Source organism: Homo sapiens, chromosome 9 (assembly GCF_000001405.40).
Source record: "Homo sapiens chromosome 9, GRCh38.p14 Primary Assembly".
Lineage (NCBI taxonomy): Eukaryota > Metazoa > Chordata > Mammalia > Primates > Hominidae > Homo > Homo sapiens.
The window spans coordinates 69,223,069-69,246,144 of record NC_000009.12 but is presented as its reverse complement, the minus strand read 5'-3'; the positions used below and the strand labels follow the sequence as shown (position 1 = coordinate 69,246,144).

At 40.6% G+C, this 23,076-nt stretch overlaps 1 protein-coding gene across 20 annotated transcripts in view, besides 2 other annotated features; it reads right to left on the bottom strand.

Annotated features, from left to right (window-relative positions):
* Positions 1 to 23,076, bottom strand: part of TJP2 (tight junction protein 2) — a 133,945-nt gene that overhangs the window by 9,064 nt on the left and 101,805 nt on the right. For 19 of the 20 annotated variants that reach the window (XM_011519206.3, XM_011519208.3, NM_001170414.2 and 16 more), the window contains 12 exons: positions 20,738 to 20,841; positions 19,970 to 20,123; positions 18,272 to 18,380; positions 18,031 to 18,164; positions 16,895 to 16,961; positions 15,913 to 16,063; positions 11,598 to 11,706; positions 9,907 to 10,117; positions 9,009 to 9,196; positions 8,172 to 8,267; positions 7,356 to 7,435; positions 5,998 to 6,208 (listed from right to left, as the gene is read on the bottom strand). In XM_011519206.3, coding sequence (XP_011517508.1) covers positions 5,998 to 6,208; positions 7,356 to 7,435; positions 8,172 to 8,267; positions 9,009 to 9,196; positions 9,907 to 10,117; positions 11,598 to 11,706; positions 15,913 to 16,063; positions 16,895 to 16,961; positions 18,031 to 18,164; positions 18,272 to 18,380; positions 19,970 to 20,123; positions 20,738 to 20,841 — 1,614 coding nt within the window. The remainder of the gene's footprint in view (positions 1 to 5,997; positions 6,209 to 7,355; positions 7,436 to 8,171; positions 8,268 to 9,008; positions 9,197 to 9,906; positions 10,118 to 11,597; positions 11,707 to 15,912; positions 16,064 to 16,894; positions 16,962 to 18,030; positions 18,165 to 18,271; positions 18,381 to 19,969; positions 20,124 to 20,737; positions 20,842 to 23,076) is intronic. The other variant, NM_001369870.1, reaches the window with a different exon arrangement.
* Positions 3,364 to 3,864: an enhancer, noted in NCBI's record as "H3K27ac hESC enhancer chr9:71857197-71857697 (GRCh37/hg19 assembly coordinates)". NCBI's record gives its function as "activates a minimal SCP1, AML or CMV promoter by ChIP-STARR-seq in primed H9 embryonic stem cells {active_cell/tissue: H9 hESC(primed)}" and the evidence as "EXISTENCE:reporter gene assay evidence [ECO:0000049][PMID:30033119]".
* Positions 3,865 to 4,365: an enhancer, noted in NCBI's record as "H3K27ac hESC enhancer chr9:71856696-71857196 (GRCh37/hg19 assembly coordinates)". NCBI's record gives its function as "activates a minimal SCP1, AML or CMV promoter by ChIP-STARR-seq in primed H9 embryonic stem cells {active_cell/tissue: H9 hESC(primed)}" and the evidence as "EXISTENCE:reporter gene assay evidence [ECO:0000049][PMID:30033119]".

Below are 23,076 nucleotides of genomic sequence, written 5' to 3'. Positions count from 1 at the left end.
TACATCCTCTTATATACTTTAAATCATCTCTGGATTACTTATAATTCCTAATACAATGTAAATGCTACGCAAATCGTTGTTATACTATATTGTTTAGGGAATAATGACAAGAAAAAAACCCTGCACGTTTAGATGTAACCATCCATTTTACCCCTCAAATATTTCCTATACACGGCTAGTTGAATTCATGAATGTGGAAACCACAGACATGGAGAGCTGACTGTATATCACTTTGATAGACTTACACATTTTAGAATATACATATAGATTAAACAAACCCAACCAGTGTGTATTCAAAGAATATACATTTTCTACTCAGAACAAAGTATATCTTACATAATAGCACTTACTATGCATCAACCAGTTACTTTCCAAGTACCTTACCTGGATTAGCTCATTTCACGACTACACAAACTTTGCAAGGTAGGTGTTGCTATGATGCCCATCTTATAGATGAGAAACCAAGGTAAAGTAGTGAAATTAACTAGCCCAAGGCCACACACCAAGCAAGTGTGAAGCTTGGATGCAAGCTCAGAAAACTGCTTTCAGAGCCTATGGTCTCAGCCACCACACTACATGGCCCATCTAAAAACAGAAATTTAGAGCACAGATATAAAATACCAACAAAGTACAACATATGTCATTTCTTCAGCAATATGTATTATGGACCTAATGGAGATAAATTAGACAAGCAAGTTAGTCCAAAATAACAAATTGTACCCCTAAAATTATCAGACTGCAGGTAAATTAGGATTTCTTTTAAACTACATTGCCATGGCCTCTTATTGTACTATCACTTCTAAAGCCAAAAAGAACCATTAAGCAAATTTTGTAAGCAATGATGCTTCAGGTTTTCCTCCAAGTAACATAGCTTTCTTCTGTTTAAGAAGTTCTAACAGTGACCTTAGAAAATCCTGAATGAGCTTACAATTTCCTTGGTTATTAATTATTTACAGCACTGAAATAAACTGATCCATTAGACAACCCGAAGAAAATTAACTTTGATTCCACGGACTTCTCTATTCCTATTATGGTACTCTGCAAAGATTACTGTGCTCATCTCATAGCTAAAATATGATACTTAAAAATAGAAGTGAGATTTTGTACCCCAGAGACAAAATGAGTGATTTACACTAAATATATACAAAATGTTAAGCAGTCTTTTAAAGCTTTATGTTGCAGCTGTCTGAGATAAGTATGGTCTGCATTCATCATAAAGAAAACCTAAAGTTAAAACGGCATTTTGTGAGATGCAGGAAATATGTTCTTGCCCCTTGATAAAATAAAGAAAATCACAAAAGCTCTTACTGAATTCACATTAACAGTCAAGTTTATGAATAAAAATTGAGAGCTTCACAGTAGCTAACTTCCTAAGCTGCATATAAAAGTAACATCCAACTCATGCACTTGACCTCTTTTTAACAGGCAGGTGCACAGACATGAAGCTGCCTTCCCTTGACTCTGCTGAATTAAGTACCTTTAGCTTATTATTGGATTCTCTCATTCCGCTTCTCAGATTCTTTGCCTTAGAGCAATAGTAGTTAATTATCTGTTGCTCCTAACCTCTGGGTTATGCCTATATCCCCTTGGATAGACTTACTCTATCTTTTGAGCTCAAGAAAGTGAAATACTGAAAGGATGCTGACTCAGCCACTGCCTTAGTTGGGAATACTGAGGTTCTGAGGGCACGTGTGCCCAGCCCTGACATGTATGGTCAGTGCTACCTCCCCCTCCCCAGCCAAGGAGGTTTGGAAGCACCAAGAGCGACAGCAAAAGGTAACATCTAAGACTAGAGGGTTTAGGGAAAGGGAGAAATGGGGAATGACTGCTAATGGGTATGGGGTATCTTTTGGGGATGATAAAAATGTTCTAAGATTGATTGGTTGTGATGACAGCTGTACAACTCTGAATATACTAAAGCCCACTGAATTGCATACTTTTTTTTTTTTTTTTTTTTTTTCCTGAGACAGGGTCTCATTGTCGCCCAGGCTGGAGTGCTGTAGTGCAATCTCGGCTCACTGCAACCTCCAGCTCCCGGGCTTAAGTGATCCTCCCACCTCAGCCTCCCAAGTAGCTGGGACTACCGGCACCCACCACCACACCCAGCTAATTTTTTTATTTTTAATAGAGACAGGGTTTCATCATGTTGCCCAGGCTGGTCTCAAACTCCTGAGCTCAAGTGACCTGCCCACCTTGGCCTCCCAATGTGCTGGGATTTACAGGCGTGAGCCACCATGCCCAGCTGAACTATATACTTTCAATGGGTGGATTATATGGTATCTAAGTCAAAACTCAATAAAGCTTTTCACGTGGCTCGGTTAACAGTGGCACGCTAGACCCCCTCTAAATGGGCATGCAACAGCAAAGGTATCCAGCTAGGGGGCCCAGCATCTTCCTTCTCTTTTCTGTGGTCAACTAGCTAGTCTATATAATCCTTTGAGAAATCAGGAATTAAAATTCTATAATTAGCATAAAAGGGTAGCCCCACTTGGGTCTCTAAATCCATAAGTCAACTTAAATGATCTTCGAACCATGCACTGAGTACTTTGAAGATTCCAAGAAAACATGTAATTCAAAGTTTGTTTTTTAAAAATAAAAATTTGTGATATGCAAATGTATTTTATAGAAAATTTTTAAAAATTGGTAGTAGGGGAGGCAAACCTAACACTTAAACTTATTATGACAAGTCAACTTGCCTTTGGGCAAATCTCAGAATAAAGCTTCTCTTGTTTAACTGAGAAGTACTGTAAGACTTGTAAGGAGAACTATTTTCATATTGTCATAATTAAATACTCGTGAGGAAGAGGAGCTTTCTTATTACTTTGCAAAAAGGAAAACAAAAGGATATTGAGCCTAAAGAGACTAATGCAACATAAAGCTTGACTTCAAATTACTGTGTTCATCAAAGCACTCTATTATTCTCAACTACTAACTCACAAAAATGCCATACACTTAAAATCATTTTAAAAGCCTACAAAATAGGCCAGGCACGGTGGCTCATGCCTGTAATCCCAGCATTTTAGGAGGCCAACACGGGCAGATTGCTTGAGCCCAGGGGTTTGAGACCAGCTTGGGCAACATGGGTAAACCCTGTTGCCAGAAAAAATACAAAAATTACCCAGGCATGGTGGTGTGTGCCTGTAGTCCCAGCTACTGGGGAGGCTGAGGAGGGAAGGTGCCTTGAGCCCAGGAAGCAGAGGTTGCAGTGAACCGAGATCGTGCCACTGCACTCTAGCTTGGGCGACAGAGGGAGACTATGTCTCAAAAACAAACAAAAACTATAAAATACTAATTCTGCCTGAAGATTCTACTGCTCAAATGTAAAGACTAGTGTTTCTGGACATGGCACACAGCCTCAAGTCAAAACCTGGTCAAGCTAAGAGGGACGAGGGTGAGATGGGGAATAAAAGCAATTATTAGTGCAGTCATCCACACAGCTGTAGGGAGTCAAACTTTGAAGTCTGGAAGAGTACTGTAAAAGACCACTTGCTAGAAAATTGGAGCTTGCTGGTCAAAGTTGCTGCACACCCTGCACCATCTATCCTGAAGACTGTACAATTCTACATAAGAGATTGGCAATTTCTGGTGAGATAAGATCACTTCAATGTTTTAGATGAAACTCAATGCTTACAGTGTGTGCTTCCATTCCAATCTCTGACTTGAGTTATTCTAAAACTTTCAACTTCCTGATGAGTTTAGGCAAGAAATGGCTTGGTGTGCCAGGGGCAGTTCTAATGTAAGTTACAAACATTTATGCCTTGCCCATGTGCTAGTCCTGATGCTGGCCTCAGGCACACAACGCTGGGAAATGTTCAGGCTCTGCCTTCAAGGATCTTGAAATCCATCTATGGAGCTAACAGAGGTGTTGCTAACCCCTTCTACACACATGGACCCCTCTAGATTCTTACTCACACTCAGCCAGCTACCGTGGCCTGTGCTCCCAAGAGCAAATGATGCGGACTCAGGTTAGATCAAGGGAGAGCCCCACAGTCACTGGCTGCCTTCTTCTGCCCTGCTCTCCTCGTCCAGCCGCCTTCAGCCTAGTTCTTCCTCTACAATGCACTGTAATTCCCTTCCCGATTTCCTACATCCTCACGTGAATCCCAAATTTAACTCTCTGAGGGAAGACGCTCGCTATTTAGTGTACTCAGACAAAAGCAGGGGGGAAAATAAAGTGGGGATAGTTTTAACTTCATTTATAATCACTTTGGCTTCAGTTTTTTAATCTGTCAAAAGGAAGGGCTGCATTACGTGACCCCTTTTGGGATTAGAATATGTCTGTGCTGTAACATATGTACAATATTGGACAGTTAGGGACGCTATAGTTTAGTCTGGGCTCAGTCATACATCAGAATTGTGATTATGCAAAAGTGCTGGCCTTTCTTATGGCCTAATAAGACAGCACACATGGAAGGCTGTACCACTCTTTACTGTTGCTATAATAGTAATAATCATAATAATTATAATACTAGTAGTAAAAAGGACAGAAAGGATATTCATAAATATACCAAGAGTATGAGTACGTAAGACTACATTCACAGAAATCTAGTTTATGATGGACCACTTCCTCCTCTGCATTTGGTTAAACTCTCTCCATTTGGCCACAGTGGCAAGTAGTGCACCTCTCTTTAACAAGAAAAACCAAGTTACACTAAAACAAGCATCTAATGTGAACACAATCATTCACCCCTTCCTCTCCAGTATCAGAGATACACTAAAATGACATGGGTGGATGATGATGGGCAATGAACTCAATGAGCTATCCTCATCCTAAGGATATCATATCCTTGCAGTCTCCTCGTGTTGCCCCAACAAAATAATGCCCTGCATGACCACAAAATTTATGTAACCCTTTAAAACTCTTAATAATCTCATATGCACAGAATTAATCATTTATATAGACAGTGCATATATTGTTACTAAAATATGTCATGTTCTTAGACCATTTTACTTTCATGAGTAATAGCAATGGCTCTTCATTTCATGGACTTAAAAATATATTCTATTAGGTAAATCTTTAAATATGTACAAAAGTACAGATAGCAGTTTAATGAACTCCGATGTACATATCAACCAGTTCAACAACTAACAACTACCAAGTCTTGGCCAGTCTTGTCCTGTCTATAATCCCATCTACTCCCCTCACTGCAGACTATTTAGGCAAATTCTCAACATTATATTAGGTCAACCATAAATATTTTATTTAGTATGCATTCCTCAAAGAACTTTGTTTTTAAAAAAATCACAATATTATTATCACACCTAACAAAGAGAAATAATAAATCTTTAAATCATCCAATATTCAGAGTGTCCAAGTTTCTAGATTTTTTTTTTTTTCTTTGAAGAGACAGGGTCTCACTCAGTCACCAGGCAGGAGTGCAGCAGTGCCATCACAGCTCACTGCAGCTTTGAATTCCTGGCTCAAGCGATCCTCCAACCTCAGCCATAGGCATGCACCACCATGCTAGGCCTTTTAGTAGAGACAGGATCTCACCATGTTGCTCAGGCTGGTCTCCAACCCCTGGGCTCAAGTGATCCTCCTGCCTTGGCCTCCCAAAGTGGGAGGATTACAAGTGTTATCCACCATGCTGGACAGGAATATTTTTAAATAATGAAACCAAGTTCCTTTCGCTTTGTAAGTTAATGCATGTATTGATGGTGAGTAGAGAACAATGACACAATCTCTAGAGAGACATAGGTGTTTGGCCTGGCTCAATCACTAGCCTTATAGTCTCACAGGAAAATATGAACTTCATCAAAATAGCTAATTATTACCACATCATGGATCTTTATGGTCATTTTCAAATAGACAAAATTACAAAGTTCAATATATAAATGCCATTGGCCTAATATCCCATTTTATAGGATTAACTATTTTTCAAGGAGTCATGAACACAATTTCAAATTCTCCATTCAGATTAATTAATTATTTCTTCTACTCTTCAATTCTTTATTTCTCATTTTTTAGCAAAGGGACTACATTTACATTTCACTTACCTGTAAAAAGGTGTGCACACGTTTTTTTAAGCTTGTTGGCTTGATCAAATAACTTTCGAGAACTTTTGTTGGACGTTGGATTTAACCTTTGTCTCATGGTTTTGACACCTTGTCTGGAGTCTGGGTTGAAAAAAATCACAATTGGGAACCACTGGGTGTAATTCAACAGGTCCACAGCTTTCGGAGTCACATCCAGTAGTGCATGCTTATCCTGTTTACAAAAGGGGAAAAGTTAGAGAAATGGATATATAAAGTAATATAGCATCAAATACTTTGTTTTAATAAGTAAAGGCTGTATGAGATATATCTTGTTTGTTTGTTTGTTTACTTATTTGGGATAGATTCTTGCTCTGTTGCCCAGGCTGGAGTGCAGTGGCACAAACTTGGCTCACTGCGACCTCCGCCTCCCGGGTTCAAGCAATTATCCTGTCTCAGCCTCCTGAGTAGCTGGGATTACAGGTGCCCGCCACCACCATGGCCAGCTAATTTTTGTATTTTTAGTAGAGACAGGGTTTCACCATGTTGGCCAGGCTGGTCCCAAACTCCTGACTTCAGGTGATCCGCCCGCCTCTGCCTCCCAAAGTGCTGGGATTACAGGCATGAGCCACCTATCTTGTAAATTTAAATCAAGAAGCAGAACACATTTCCTTCTACCTAATGCCCACTTCAATATTACCAATGTGTTAGAACTTCTGATAAAATGAATTAACACATTATTTGGTATAATGCTGGGAACTCTGGAAAAAAAAACAGTATGTTACTGCCAGAGAACAGTAACAGTGACTGGTTTCCACACAGTGAAATGGTTTGCATTTACATTATATATATATTTTTTTGAGATGGAGTTTCACTCTTGTCGCCCAGGCTGGAGTGCAATGGTGCAATCTCCGCTCACTGCCAACAGTGACTGGTTTCCACACAGTGAAACGGTTTGCATTTACATTATATATATATTTTTTTGAGATGGAGTTTCACTCGTCGCCCAGGCTGGAGTGCAATGGTGCAATCTCCGCTCACTGCAAACTCCGCCTCCTGAGTTCAAGCGATTCTCCTGCCTCAGCCTCCTGAGTGGCTGGGACTACAGGTACCTGCCACTGTGCCCGGCTAATTTTTTATATTTTTAGTAGAGACAGGGTTTCACCATGTTGGCCAGGCTGGTCTCGAACTCCTGACCTCAGGTGATCCACCCGCCTCAGCCTCTCAAAGTGTTGGGATTACAGGTGTAAGCCACTGTGCCCGGCCAATTTTTTATTATTAACATTTAATGATTAAAAGTACAGATACTATCCTAAAAGTGACTGCAGCAAACCATAATCTAATTCTTTCTGAAAACACGGTCTGTGGATGAATTTTCTCACCTGTTCAATAATTTGCCTCACGGTATTTAACCGGACCACTCCAGTGGATTTCTCAGATCCTGCATCTTTTGGTTCCGTTTCTGCAAAAGCAAAAACAGGAAGCTAAATAATTGTTTAGAAAACAGTGACAACCAAATACTCCCACCTAGCATCAAGCAATGATGGCACACCTGACATTAAGTGTCTCCTAACAAGATTCAGTGGGAAGGACCCACATAACCTGCTTAGTGGAAATCTAATCATGAAGAAACGGTTAGGCCAGTCCAACAGGAAGCATTCTAGGAGACAACTAGCTTGGATTCTTCAAAATATCAGTGTAACAAAGTTATTTAGAAAAAAGAGGGGACTGGAAAGACATAAAAATCACAAAAAGACATAAAAATCAAATGTCATGAATGGTCCTTGGTTGTATTCTGAATTTAAAAAAAAGCTATGAAGCACATAACTAGGACAATTAAGAAAACGTGGAAAATGGACTATATACAAAATCACACCACATCAATGTTACCTTTCTTGGCTGTGATAATGGTATTGCAGTTATGTGGGAGAAAGTCCTTGTTCTTAGGAGATTCACACAAGTATTCAGGGATAAAGTGTTATAAATGATTCTGCAGAAATTTTTCAAAGAGTATGTGTATGTGTGTGTGTATGTGTGTCTATGGTGCAGGCAGTGGGTGAGAGAAAATGCGTGACAAAATGTCAGCAACTGGTGATTCCAGGTGAAGGGTACGTGGGTGTTCATGATTCTTCCAACTCCTCTGTTAGAAATTTTTCAAAATAAAAATTTGGGGGAAAAAAAAACACTGACAGACTTACTAGCAGTTTGAAACCAGTCAGGTAACTCATTAGCCAATTTTTCCATTGCTATATCAGCTATGGGGCCGAATAAGACCACAGGTCTCTTGAAACCAGCTGAAATGACAAGAAAGGCCATTAAAGCATACACACTTGCCTAGCTGTTATGATAAGCAGTAAAAGTATTGTATGGGCTTTTGATAACATAACTAAACGAAAGAAACTGTGGTTTCTCCCCAATTCAGCTTGGCTCTGTTCTGAAGAATATGCCTTCACTATCCTCACCATTTAAAACAATTTTTTTCTTTTCATTCAACCACATGCTAACCTAGATTTTTTTTTAAGAGACAAGATCTCACTATGTTGCCCAGACTAAACTCAAACTCCTAGGCTCAAGCCTCCTGAGTAGCTGGGACTACACTGCCTAGCTCCTCACCATTTTTAAACACAAACTTTCCCATTGATAATATATGGAAACTTTTTTTATTTTTTGCAGAGATGAGGTCTTACTATATTGCCCAGGCTAGTCTTGAACTTCTGAGCTCAAGTGATCCTCCCACCTTGGCCTCCCAAAGTGCTACGATTATAGGCATAAGGTACAGTGCCCAGCCAATATACCGAAACTCTTGAACAGTGGTATTAAAACATTTTTTAAGTTGCAGAAATAAGCCTCAATTTAGGAACTGAAACAGCTTTTTATAAATCATGCTCCTTGTTAGAATTTGATTTCAACTCTATAAACTGCCTTTGGCATAACTGACATACATAAGTTAGAACTTGACCATACAGTCTGAAAATAAAGGTGAACAGGCTCAGAGCCCAGTCAGTTCATTTCCAGGCCCCATGTGACTTCCTCACCTTCTCGCAGCAAAACCCTCTCATAAGCTGGGAACTTGGTGCTGACAGACACAACAGCTGTGAGGTCTTCCCGACTTTTCCTCAGGTTCTTCTTCACCCCAGACCTCTGGCCACGCATTCTCCAGAAATCTGCCCGGTCCCCAGCGTTGTCTCTCTGGGCATTTTGAACACTGGCCATTTGTTCAGCTCTGAGAAGAAACCACGGGAAGTAAATCTCTAAAGCCAGAAAACGCAGCTAACATGCATTTCATTAATCAAATCCAGTCAATTTTACTTCTGAGCTCAGAGAAGATTCCGCTTGACAATGAAGAAGTTTCAGAGGGTGGGAAATGTGGGGACCTTCACTTCCAAATGGGAGCAGAAAAAGGCTGGGTCTCTGTGAAATCTCCCAGAAGTGGCTCAGCAATAAACATGTGAAATTTGGCCCATTCTGATATGCAGGTACACAGTACACACACCTGGAACTCCTGCTCAAATACAGGCCTCTTTTCTAGGTTCCTGCACTGTCAGCCAAACACCAAGTGTTCACTGGGGTGCATAAACCTCTCCAAGGATGGAGACTGGGCACCGGACAAGGGTACCTTGTCTCTAAGAGGTGTGCTGGTGTGCTACGGCCATTCAGTATATCTCTTGTATACGGTACAAGGCAGTGGATGCTCCTTAGGAAGTTGTTCAAACAGCCACATTCAGCAACCAACCACATGATGCTAAATTTACTCACAATAAACTGGCTGGTGGCTATTTACAGTTCAGGCCACTCTCCATAAACAAGAAATAGATGGTGACAAGTAATGAACTCATCATGTGGGGTTTCCTTTTACGGGGGAAGGGGGGCGGTCTCTAGTTTTCTGCAGGGGGAAGGATTAAAAGGGGTATGTGAGAATGCGATCTCTGTTACCTGCTCTTGTTGGGGATTAAGCCTTTCTCCAACTCGTTCCCAATCCTCACAGCCAGCCAGTTGCCCAGCTTGCCGTCATACAGTGTGTCTACCACTCGGAAGACCTCCCCTCTGGTGAAGGCCAGGCTCTGTGGAGTTTCCTTCTCACATTCAAAGTGGCTTCTTATAAAAAACGAATCCCCTCTGCCACAAGCCAGGATGTCTCTATACACTGAAAGACAAAAGCATCGTTTGTTGCATTCAGCTTAGTACAAGTTACAGTACTAGACACTCAACACAGCTTCTCCTATCTCTGATCTCCCCTTTACCTTCCTTCCATTCAGTGCACAAGTCCTATGGGAGTCACAGCTCCAACAGGAACAAGGACAAATAACCAGCTTCACGGCTTGCTGCAATGGTTAATTTTATTTCAACTTGACTGGGCCATGAAATAACCAGGTATTTGGTCAGACTTTATTCTATGCCTTTCTCTGAGGGTGTTTTTGAATGACAGTCACGTATAAATGGGTAGACTGAGCAAAGAAGATCGCCCTCCCCAATGCGAGTGGGCCTCATCCAATCAGTTGAGGGCCTGAAGAGAATGACAATCAGACCCCTTCTCAATTAAGAGGAAACTAGGCTGGGCGTGGTGGCTCATGCCTATAATCCCAGCACTTTGGGAGGCCAAGGTGGGTGGATCACAAGGTCAGGAGATCGAGACCATCCTGGCTAACACAGTGAAACCCCGTCTCTACTAAAAATACAAAAAATTAGCCGGGCGTGGTGGTGGGCGCCTGTAGTCCCAGCTACTCGGGAGGCTGAGGCAGGAGAATGGGGTGAACCTGGGAGGCAGAGCTTGCAGTGAGCCAAGATTGCTCCACTGCACTCCAGCCTCAGCGACAAAGCCAGACTCCGTCTCAAAAAAATAATAATAAATAAATAAATAAATAAATAAATAAATAAAAAATTAGGAGGAAACTACTCTTCCTGCCTGATGGCCTTCAAAAGGCGACATCAGCTCTTTTCCCTGACTTGGTACTGGAACTACACCATTGGCTCTCCTGGTTCTCAGGCCTTCAGACTGAGACTAGAACTAAATCACTGGCTCTCCTGAGTCTCTATCTTGCCCATTTTCACTGCAGATCTTGGCACTTGCCAGTCTCCATAATTATGTGAGCCAATTCTTTATAATAAATCTCTTTCTTTCCTATTGATTCCAATATCTCCTATCATTCTGTTTCTCTGGAGAACATTAACACAGTTGCCAATCAAGCTCTGAAGCAGACAAGGAGGACACTCTCAACACCCACTTAACAGATGGGAACAAGGCCTGGAAAGGTGAAACAACTTGTCAGACTGGACAGGGGTAACAGGCGCACCAGCCAGCAGCCATGGCCTTTGCACATGTCGTATGTAAACTCACTAATAACTCCAGGCAGAACATAAGGCTGCATCACTGTTCAGGAAGGCAGTTTTATTCCAAATTGACACAACTAGTAAAATTATTTCAGTGCATGCATAGAAAACATTTTTATGGAAAGTTAAACGGCACTCACATTTTCTTCACACACCTAGGGCCCAAGGACTAGGTGTTGAGATCCATCTCAATTTTTTAATACCCAGATTTGCCTATTCTGGTACCAAGACACCTCTCTCATCCTTCCCACTCCCCACCCCCACCCCAACTAAACTAAATGACCAAATTTGCTCACCATCGGCTCGGCTCTGAGCTAAAATGGTCACCATTTCACCTTTAGGGATTTCTAACAGGTAGAGAACGGCATCCTCCCGCACTAATCCTCTGAAATCCTGTGTGTTCACCTATTAGGAAGGAAAAACAGAAAAAGAAAAAAAAAAAAAAGAAAGAAAGAAAGAAAGAAAGAAAGAAAAAACAGAGAAGTTTATAGTAAGATGCCACTGACCCTTTTGTTTGTTTTCATCAGGGCCTGTCCAGAGCAAAGCCAAGATGCAAATGAGTCCTTAATGTCACTATTCAAGTCCTCGCGCCCAGCACCTTGCTATGGGCCTGCACACTATACCTTCCTGCCTCCCCATACTGCCAACCGCACCTTAGAGGTTAAGCCATTGAAGCAAGGATCTGTCACCAGATCACAATAGAATTTCTTGTGGTTGTTTCTATCCATCTCCCTTCTGTGAGTCTCTCACAGAGGTGGCCAAGAAGGTAATACACAAGTATGAAGCATGGGGAGTGTTGGGGTCTGTGACAACTGAGCATGCTGGCCCAGCATTTACACTAATTTTAAACTGGTTCAAATAAAAGTGTGCAAATAAAGACTCTGACCAATTCTACCCTTCTCCTATAGCTTCTATCACCTAAAAGTGTTTAACATGTGTTTATAAAATTGAAAGGTATGTATCAAATTAAAGAGCATCAGCCTTACAGTTACAAAGCAAGTAAAATTGAAATGTAGCACAAAGAACAAGACATTTTGAAATCATAGTGCTATGTGGTTTTTTTTTTTGAGATGTAGTCTCCCTCTGTCGCCCAGGCTGGAGTGCAATGGCGCGATCTTGGCTCACTGCAACCTCCGCCTCCTGGGTTCAAGCAATTCTTTTGCCTCAGCCTCCCTGAGTAGCTGCGACTACAGGCATGTGCCACCACACCCAGCTAATTTTTTTTGTATTTTCAGTAGAGACAAGGTTTCACCATGTTGGCCAGGCTGGTCTCGAACTCTTGACCTCAGGTGATCCGCCCACCTAGGCCTCCCAAAGTGCTGGGATTACATGCGTGAGCCACCACGCCTGGCCCATAGTTCTGTATCTTTCAGCCTATTTTAAAACAGAATTATAAATAAGTAAAATGCAAAAACCATATTAAAGTACCTGATATGTTAATAATATTTTGTAGAAATAAAGATATAAAATTCCTATGAAATATTTTCTTCAGTCATTGACAATTACAGAATCCTTTTAATCACAAGAGTAATGCTTTATTAAAGAAGAAACTTATCCTTAGTTGGGTGGGCCTTAATTAAGGCCAAAATTTATGATTAAGTGAAAGTCGGCATTAGACTAAAACTAATTTGGTGCTTTTAAAATAAAGTGATGTGCTAAAGCAATTGAGTTAATTTTTCCTTTGAAACAGTATTTAGTATTTAAGGTACTGTCATTTGTACCTCTCTGTCCCCCAATTAGGAATCATCCCATTTTGGTATCCTTTCTTGTGCCATTTGTTTATCTACATCTGTATCTACATATAGCCATATGTATATTTTCACATGTACTATACATGCTTGTATTTGTTTACTTAAATAAGACAGGGCCACAAGGCTGTGGGAGGACCTTGGGAGTCCTTCAGTCCATCTCTCTGGCCACAAGAGATTAACCTTAGATCAGTCTCGATCACAGTCTTCGATAGCCAAAAACTATAATGGTCAAAATTAAAGCACACATGGTAGTTATATTTTAAAAATCTACATGGTTAATAACCAAACTTAGAAGTCTTTTTTCTCTTTTCCATCCCATAAAAGTTTCTGAAAGAGAAATGACAACTCTATCAGATAAATAACAAGCAAAGAGGTAGTTCAGCCAAGCAGGAATGAGCAAAAGCACATATATCTCCATTATTGATAAGGAATATACATATCTGGCTCACGTCTTCATTCCACACATTAGGCTGTCACCTTTGCAAAACAAAGAGCCACACTTAAAAACCCCACAACAGAATAAAGTGATTAGCATGTGTATAAGGCTCACTTTATATATTCAATTTGGCCATGAAAAGGAGCATTGAAACAAATTAAAGTGAAAAAAGGCTAGGGCAGCACTTTTCTACTTGAAGGTTACATTGAACAGTCCTTTCCAATAAATATCCTCTTTGATTAGCTATTTAGTAGTCTACAGGGTCTAGCCGTGTCTGCTGTGAGCCTGAAGAGGATCCTGTATCAGCCACAGCTTAGTATTGTGCAGCAGCTTCTCCGCCCTCGTAGGCAAACTCAATCTTTTTCACCCCTTTCTAGAACGGAAAGCTTCTTTTGTAGTCAACAGAAAATTTATTCGCACCCAAGAAATGAGGACCACCTATTGCCTGACCTCCATATGGGATGACAGCAAAAGAAGCCAGTTCCCAGAGTTCCTTCCGTGTTGCCAGGGTGATAACAAGAAACAAAACACCTTAAGTATAAATGCTGATACCATGACTTTTTATCCACCAAAGCGACTCTCCCCATCTAACAACAACTTACAGAGAGGTCTGACTGCCAAGCCTCTAGGTGAATTCACTACTTTTCTTCACGGAAATTTAGAAAATCTCCCAGCCCCTGAACATACGAAAATATTTTATCATTGAACCTTAATGAGCAAAAGCTCCACATTTCTAGCTATCATCCTATGGCCTCACAATAGTTAGAAAAAATGCCTTTTTCCTTCATCAGCATATATGCAAAGAGTAAACTGGTATGAGCTGGCACTCAGATGGGTTTTCATCAGTAACATTTGGTGAGTGGTATTTCCTAGGATCATAAGGCAACATGAGGTTCGTGCAGGTACATAGTCTTCTAGATCCTGACCAGGGCCAAGGAGGGTCTAGAATTTCACTGAAAAGCTTTTGCAAAGCTCATGATCAAGGTTTGCCCTTCATCTGCTCCAGAAATGAAATCTGAAATACTGCAACGGGGCCAAGAAGGAAGGGGGCCACCTGCTTTTGTACTTTGCTGCTGCTTGCTTCCTTGAGAATTCTAGAACTTTTTTCTCCCCTCTCCTTGGAGCCTAGAAGCCCCTACCAGACCCCTTAGTTTACTACATATGGATTTTTTACTAACATTAACAAGAAAAAAAAAACCTCATATATATGAACTGCAAGTTTGCAGAAGCAGGAAGAAATTCCAATGAAGACAGTTCCCAGCCGGGCGCAGTGGCTCACGCCTGTAATCCCAGCACTTTGGGAGGCCAAGGCATGTGGACTGCTTGAGCTCAGGAGCTCGAGACCAGCCTGGGCAACATGATGAAACCCTGTCTCTACTAAAAAGACAAAAATTAAGAGTTCACCTGTAATCCCAGCTACTGGGGAGGCTGAGGACTAAGAATTGCTTGAACCCAGGAGGCGGAGGTTGCGGTGATCTGAGATAGCACCACTGCACTCCAGCCTGGGTGACAGAGCGAGACTGTCAAAAACAAAAAAAAACAAAAAAAACAGTTCCCTAGTACTCTATATTTTTATTGTAAGGAGATACTTGATGTTCTTGAAATTTATTCCGAAGTCAACAAAGAATGCTACACACACACACACACATACACAAATGTCAAGTTGAGTTATTTTTTAATTCCTTAACAGATTATACAAACACATAGTAATTTTAAAAGTATCAATATTTGATTAACCAGGAATTCCCTTTCTTGGACAATTTTAGATGTAAATAACATTGAGTAGCAGCTATTTGTTATCTTCCAATAAGAAAAAAGAATGGACACTCACCTTCCTATTCTGTGCCAGGGAACTCTGCTAGGTGCCTTGTAAGTGTTACCTGGTCTAATCTTCCCACAGTCCCTGCGAGGCAGGTATTCTCATCCCCATTAAACAGATACAGAAACCTGAGTCTCAGGGTGAACCAGGGTCACAGAACTAATCAGAGGCTGGGACGAAATTCCAATCACCCAGTCTGATGCCAACCACTCACCTTTGTTCAATTTCAGGACACTGCCTTAAGAAAGATGGCAGGCAGGGGGAACACAGTGAAAAAAGCAAAAATCAGAAAAATCTTTTTGAAAAATCTTTCCTGTAAGTGCTTACTTAGAGTCTCAATATTTTCACATTAATCAGACTAATAAAATCTTGGCAAGGGCAGAAACACTATCAGTTCTCACAGATACATGGATGAGTTCTGGGTTCCAAGACTGAGAAGACAGGACGCATTTGAGGAATACAGAGACTTCAATGCTGGGCATCAACAAACTTGCAGCTGCTCTATTTCACCAGCTGAACCATTTTGTCTTCCCTTACAGAAAGAACACCCAGAAAAGTGCACTCCTTACAAGTAACTTCTAGAAACAGAGCTGGGCTGTTCTTACCTTCAGAATCTGGTCTCCTTCTTGAAGGCCCTCCTGCTCCGCCGAGGTCCCTTCTTGAATGCCAGCAACAAATATCCCGACATCATTGCCACCAGCCAACCGGAGGCCCACGCTGTCTCCCTTCTTGAACCTTACCATTTTGGTATTAGGGCTGCAATAGGTTCCGTTTCAGAAAGGAAAGATGGGAGATATTTTTTAAAAGGGAGAACAACATTAGCAAATGAGAGATTTAATTTCTTCTAGCTACAGAGTGATTTATAGTTTACAAAGCCCTCTCATTTTTCTCATCTATCTCATATATCCTACAATTTTATCTTTCTTGGGACCATGAGATGAGTATCAGTAGGTCCCTGGTTACTGGTGAAGACATAGAATTATAGAATCTTTACAGCAACTCTTTCAAGATGAGAAAGCAAATAAAGGGCAGAGTTAGGGCTAAAATTCTTCCAAAGGAAGGCCCGCTTGCACTGCATTCTTGTCAAATAAAGACACAGTCTGGGTACAAAGAAGCAGAATCCTAATCCAGGAGGCTGCTGCCCTTGAACCCTGCTGAACTAGGGGTTCTGATTATCAAGTGCAGAGCGCAGCAGCACTCCTCCTCCCTCCCCCACACGGACTGACACTGGGACCATCACATCAGTGCAGTCACCACAGGGCACCGTAGTTTAGCAATAAATACTTCACCTATTTGGGAGTGAATTTATCTGACAAACGCAAATATTCAGAGTAACACTCTGGAAAGGTAGCTAGATAGGTAGGTAAACAGACAACATTAACATCACAAAGTTCACCCACTTCCGCATTTTGCTGTTCCCACAAATCATTCCTCTTTCTCATAAGCACTACCAATGGGGATTGGTTACAGGTGGCTGACAGTGTACAAAATCACCATCTAGGCAAAAACCACCACTCTTCTGGATTTCAGTTACAGAGACAGAGCTGTAAGGAAGAAGGGAAAACAAAGAGAGACGGAAATACATACCCATATATTGCTTCATCTTCAGGACTAGGACGAAGAAAAGTTCTCGGGGCTGCTTTTGGTTGAGGAGCTGTAGGTTAAGAAACATCTACTGTTATCAATCTGGACTAACAAGAGTGCGTTTCTAAATAGAAAAATCACAAAATCCACAAAAAATGTAAGTCTATGCCACATATGTCACCACAAACAAAAAGAAGTCTCTAAAGTGCCGTTTAACTCTGAAGTATTAGCAGGTGCCAATGGTTTCTCAAAATACAAGAGATAAAAAATGAACCTCTAAAATGCAAGGTGTACAATCACATGCACAAGAACATAGAATTTTTAACAACTTAAAAAACATACAATAATGATACTGTTTCCCCTTAAATATTTATGAATATAAAATTATGATGATAATTGTAGGGTGGTGGGGAAGGGTTGGGGGAAGAGGTCAGGATCAAGGATGGGAGAAAACAATGACCTCAACTCATCAAATATGACAAAGTGTGACCAATTCTAATGGCATTTAGACAAGGCTATTATTTTATATTTTGTCAACGTCAAAAGAGAGAAAGGAAGGCCTCTTCCATATATAATTTTTTATTTCCTTCTTCCCTTTCAGCCACCCTCTGGAATTAAGTACACACTTATCTATACATACACATATACATGTACATACATATCTGTATACATATATACACACATGCATACATATATGTATACATATCTATGTATTTACATATATGTGTATAATTTCAACTTTTATTTTAGGTTCAGTGGGTGCACGTCCAAGTCTGTTACATGCATATACTGCATGATGCTGAGGTTTGGGGTACAACTGATCCTGTCACCAAGGTGTGAGCATGATACCTAATAGTTTTTCAACCCTTTCCATCTCCTCCTTTAGTAGTTTCCCCTCTAGTTGTCCCCAGTTTCTGTTACTGCCACCTCTATGTCCATTTGTACCCAATGTTTAGCTCCCACTTAAAAGTCAGAACATGTGCTGTGTGGTTTTCTGTTACCATGTTAATTAGCTTAGGATAATGGCCTCCAGCTGCATCCACGTGGCTGCAAAGGACATGATTTCACTCTTTGTTATGGCTGTGTGAGCACACACTTCTGAACACAACTGTTGAAACTGAGTGGTCTTAATGGCTCACCTGGGGGGTCCTCTTGGTATCTGGGTTCCTTGTTGGTCTCTGGGACAACTGTGCCTGCAATATCCCCTGTGGACTTAAAGGGAGTGGGTGTCGCACCCATCCTGGACAATCTGCTCGGCGTGTCCTCTCTGGAACTGAATCACATGTCATACGTAAATGTCTCAAGAGATAACAGTTTCATAAATACATATGTGTGTACATTCACAATGACATGTACAAGAGAATATTCATGTCATCTTACCTTGGCCTTTCCTTCAGCTTCTCACTTGAGGAATGATAATCATAATCAGAATACTGATGACGTCTCTCCTCTGGAGAAAATGATCGGTTTGACTCTATTTCTGAAATATCTAGTTTCAAAAATAAGAAAAGACTTTTAAATAAAATATTTAAAATATTCTCCTACCCAGAGAAATTGCACTATTCTCTGGGTAGGAAACACGGGAAATGGAAACGAGGTAGGCAGGAAATGTGCTATTAGTCTAATAGTCCTCCCCTGGAGAAAAACTTGCTCGTTTTAAGGGAAAGGCATTAATTAATAAAGGGGAAGGCAAATTTAGAATTGTGTATTTCTCTTTTGTCTCATTTTCCATCAAAGCTGCTACAGAAGAGTCAAAATTCTATTATTGGATCATAGATGTATACACTAATTCTTCCCAAGCAGCCCAATGCTTCTCAAACTTTAAGGTGCATACAAATCTTGTTAGGATGCAGTTGTTGTGGGGCAGTTGAGGGGAGACTGAGATTCTGCAATTCTATCCAGTTACCTGATTATGCAGATGCTATTGGGGTCAGGGGTTGGGGGATGAGGACCACATACTGAGTAGCAAGGAAATAAACTGCAAACCCCCTAACATGCTGGCATTATTTCTCATGCTCCTTTTGTTTTCCTGCACTGCACCCGTAACAGTCATCAACAACTTCTGATACACTGGAAAGTGAATTAAGTTTTAAGGTTTTACAAAGAAATTCCTTTAAAAAAAAAAATCAACAAAAGTCTGCTTTACAACTTCGTAACTTAATATTTTCTAAACTTCTCTGCATAAAAGCAACAGTAGATGGTTCAGTAGAATATACTGTGATTAACTATTTTTATTGGCAATTTTTACAAGGTTAAAATGTTATCCTATGTATAATTCATATTCAAATAATGAATATAGCTCTTTAAAAGGGAAGAGGTGATGCAGACTGCTAATTAATGAATGCCACAATATTAGCCATTTTGATTCTTTTTGAGCATCTACTTGTTTTAGCTATCCTCCAAATTGTCTTCTCTATTAGAGATATTAATAGCCACTTTTAAAGAATGAGCAATTAAGGCTGGGCCTGGTGGCTCACGCCTGTAATCCCAGCACTTTGGGAGGACAAGACGGGCAGATCACGAGGTCAGGAGTTCAAGACCAGCCTGGCCAACATGGTGAAACCCCGTCTCTACTAAAAATACAAAAATTAGCCAGGTGTGGTGGCAGGCGCCCATAATCCCAGCTACTCAGGAGGCTGAGGCAGAAGGATCACTTGAACCTGGGAGGCAGAGGTTGCAGTGAGCCAAGATTGTACCACTGCACTCCAGCTTGGGCAACAGAGGGAAACTCTGTCTCAAAAAAAAACAATAAGCAATTAGCAAATATATAAATGATATGGTTAGTTCTTTGAACCACTCAAACACACATTTTTTTACTGACAAGTTTTGCTTTCAATTGCCTAATTAATAGTTCTCTGAGAGTTCGCAAATGCACCAGAATTTTGTATTGGAAACCTAATTTCAATAGGCACTTTAATAAGCAAATAACAACCAACCAGTGACCTTTGGAGATTAAGGTTTCAAGGGGTCTTTCCTTAGAAATTTAACTTCCAGCTGGATAGCTACACTAAATAGAAGAATGGGGAAGCAACAGCCTTCCTTACTTCCAGCTAAGCTCACAGCCTCCTCTTCCTTTACCTTCTATTTCTGAGTCACTGTCATTTAATGACGGGATGTTGATGAGGGTCTGCTGGCTGTCTCTCAACACCACTAGCTGTAGTTTTCCTCTTGACTTTTCTATCAATTTTCGAGCATCCGTTAAAGACATGTTCTCAGTTACAGTCCCATTGATCTGTGTTTATAAAAAATGGTAATGTTAAATGCAATAAAATTATTCACAGTAGAAAATTCATATTTTCCCCTTCTAAAAATGTAAAGGCTTTGCTCAGATATTCAAACAGATATTGGCTTTAGGATGACTCAATAAAAATGAATTGTCGTTTAAATTAAATATAATCCTGCATGCCTGGATCCCAAATACAGGTGTAAGTTACTCTGCTAATTTATTTAACTTCCAAGCTCAAGACAACGGTTTGGTTTACTACTGGAACGTGTTTCCTGACTGGAGAGGTTTACAAGACCTATTAAATATTCAGCATTCATATATCACCAACTTTCCTTCTCATCTTTCCTTAGTTTAGGGAATAGGGATCTAAACTTTAAACAGGAAAGAAGAAAATATTCATGGAGTTTTTTTGTTTTTGTTTTCTAAACTGACATTAAACTGTTACGACCCTCAATGTCTGGTTTTTCTGATAAAAATCGTCTCATTATGCTGCTCTTGCCACCTCTGTCTTACCACTGACTCTCACTGGATCTAAGTCTCACTGTGTGGGTGCTGAATGTGGACATGCAGGCGATGAACGGCAGTATGCACACTACCGTTCTCTGCCCCCATCTACCCACCTTGAGAATTATGTCTCCTTCGTGAAGGTTGCCATCTTTAGTTGCCAGACCCGTTCGGGTCATTTCCTTTACGAAGATCTGACTCCCAAGCCGGAGACCATACTCTAGGAGACAAACACATAAACATACACGTATGTTATCAATTTGTTCAAAAAACTTAGTCTGGTTTATAGGACTATTTTAAAATATGTATTAAAAAGTTAATTTTGTATATGGGAAATTCTGTAAGATGACTGGCCTGAACTCTTCAAAAAAGTCAATGCCATAAAAAACAAAAAAGGTAGAGAAACTGTTCCAGATTAAAAGTTACATAAAAACCAAATGCAATGCATGAACTACCATAGGTCCCTGATCCAGTGGAGGGTGGGGGAAGAATGAGTTACATCATTTGGAGCAATCTGAAAATGAACTATAATATATGAAAGGGATATTAATGTTAATCTTCTTAAGTGTTATAATGGTATTACGGTGACTGATGTAGGAGAATGTTCTTATCTTTGGAAGATACCTCTGAAATATTTATGGGTAATGGTGAGTTGCCTGCAACTTACTTAAATAGTACCAAAAAACCCACTGAGAGAGGTAACAGGAAGGGTGATGGAGTAGAAGGAAAGAAAAAAAAAGGAGGAGGAAAAAGAAAGTGTGGCAAAATGTTAACAACTGGTAAAACTAGATGAAGGTTATATGTTTATTTGCTATAAAATTAACATTTTCTTTTTCTTTCTTTTTTTGAGACAGAATCTTGCTTTGTCACCCAGGCTGGAGTGCAGGGGCATGATCTCAGCTCACTGCAACCTCTGCCTCCCAGGTTCAAGTGATTCTCCTGCCTCAGCCTCTCAAGTAGCTGGGATTACAGGTGCCCACCACCATGCCCAGCTAATTGTTGTATTTTAGTAGAGACAGGGTTTCACCATGTAGGCCAGGCTAGTCTCGAACTCCTGACCTCAGGTGATCCACCCGCCTCGGCCTCCCAAAGTGCTAGGATTACAGGTGTGAGCCACTGCGCCTGGCCAAATTAACACTTTTCAAATAAAATGTTGGGGAGAAAAAAAAACAATTCAGCACACCTTAATAGGCATGTTCTGCTGACAATGAGGCTGTCTACAGGAAGGCACTGCAAAAAATCTAGCATTTTAGATTATATGAAGCTTGGCATTGAAAGGAATTCAGTGGGTGAAGAAAAGGGGTAAAGAAGTCAGGCAAAGTAATTAATAAAGCATTCAACTAAAACCAGCATAGCTTTGGGAGTTTATGGACTCTGAATTGCTATCAAAAACAAAAACATTGTAATTACTAAGTTATGCATATTTTTAAATACTTTCAATGCTACTTAAGACTCTTCTGGTTTTACTTAATAAACTTGTAAAAATACATTATTTTAAGAATAACTGTTCACATTTTAGGAAACTACCACAACAGAGCAGGTTTTAAAACAGGCACAAAATTTTTTATTATTGTTCAAACTAAAAATCTTATAATTACAAAACAAAGTAACTTTCCACAATTCAGGAAAGGTATGAAGTCAATTTTAAAATAAGTTTTAAATGATTTACGGTAAACTTGTCAGCCAGATCTTACCACAAAGATTAGAAGTGTTGTGGCCCATGCCCTAGTCCTTTAGGAAGCTGATAGTCAAGAATGGAATAAGGGAAGGGCAAAGCTACTTTCATGGATGGCGAGCCCCTAGTGGTCAAACAGCCTCACAGCCCAGAACAGAAGGCTGAGTGAGACAAGCTTGAGTGATAACATCTCTCTGGCATTTTTCAACAATTCCTCAATCCTCTTAAAAAATGCACTCATTGGCCAAGCATGGGGGCTCACGCCTGTAATCCCAGCACTTCGGGAGGCTGAGGTGGGCGGATCATGAGGTCAGGAGATCGAGACCATCCTGGCTAACACGGTGAAACCCCGTCTCTACTTAAAACACAAAAAATTAGCCGGGTGTGGTGGCGGGCGCCTACAGTCCCAGCTACTTGGGAGGCTGAGGCAGGAGAATGGTGTGAACCCGGGAGATGGAGCCTGCAGTGAGCCGAGATCGCGCCACTGCACTCCACCCTGGGCGAAAGAGCGAGACTCCGTCTCAAAACAAAACAAAACAAAACAAAACAAAACAAAACAGAAACGAAGCCTCCTAACACACAAGGTTCTTGTGAGGACTACGTAAAAGAATATTCAACATAGCCCTTGCATAGAGCAGAAACTCAACAATGATTAGGCGGAGTACTGTCCTCCACTGTGGTTTTCCACTTGAGATGCAGCAAGGCCACTAGGAGAGCTTATTAACATAGAGACTCTGAGGGCCCACCCCATGGTTTCTTTTTTTTTTTTTTTTTTTTTTC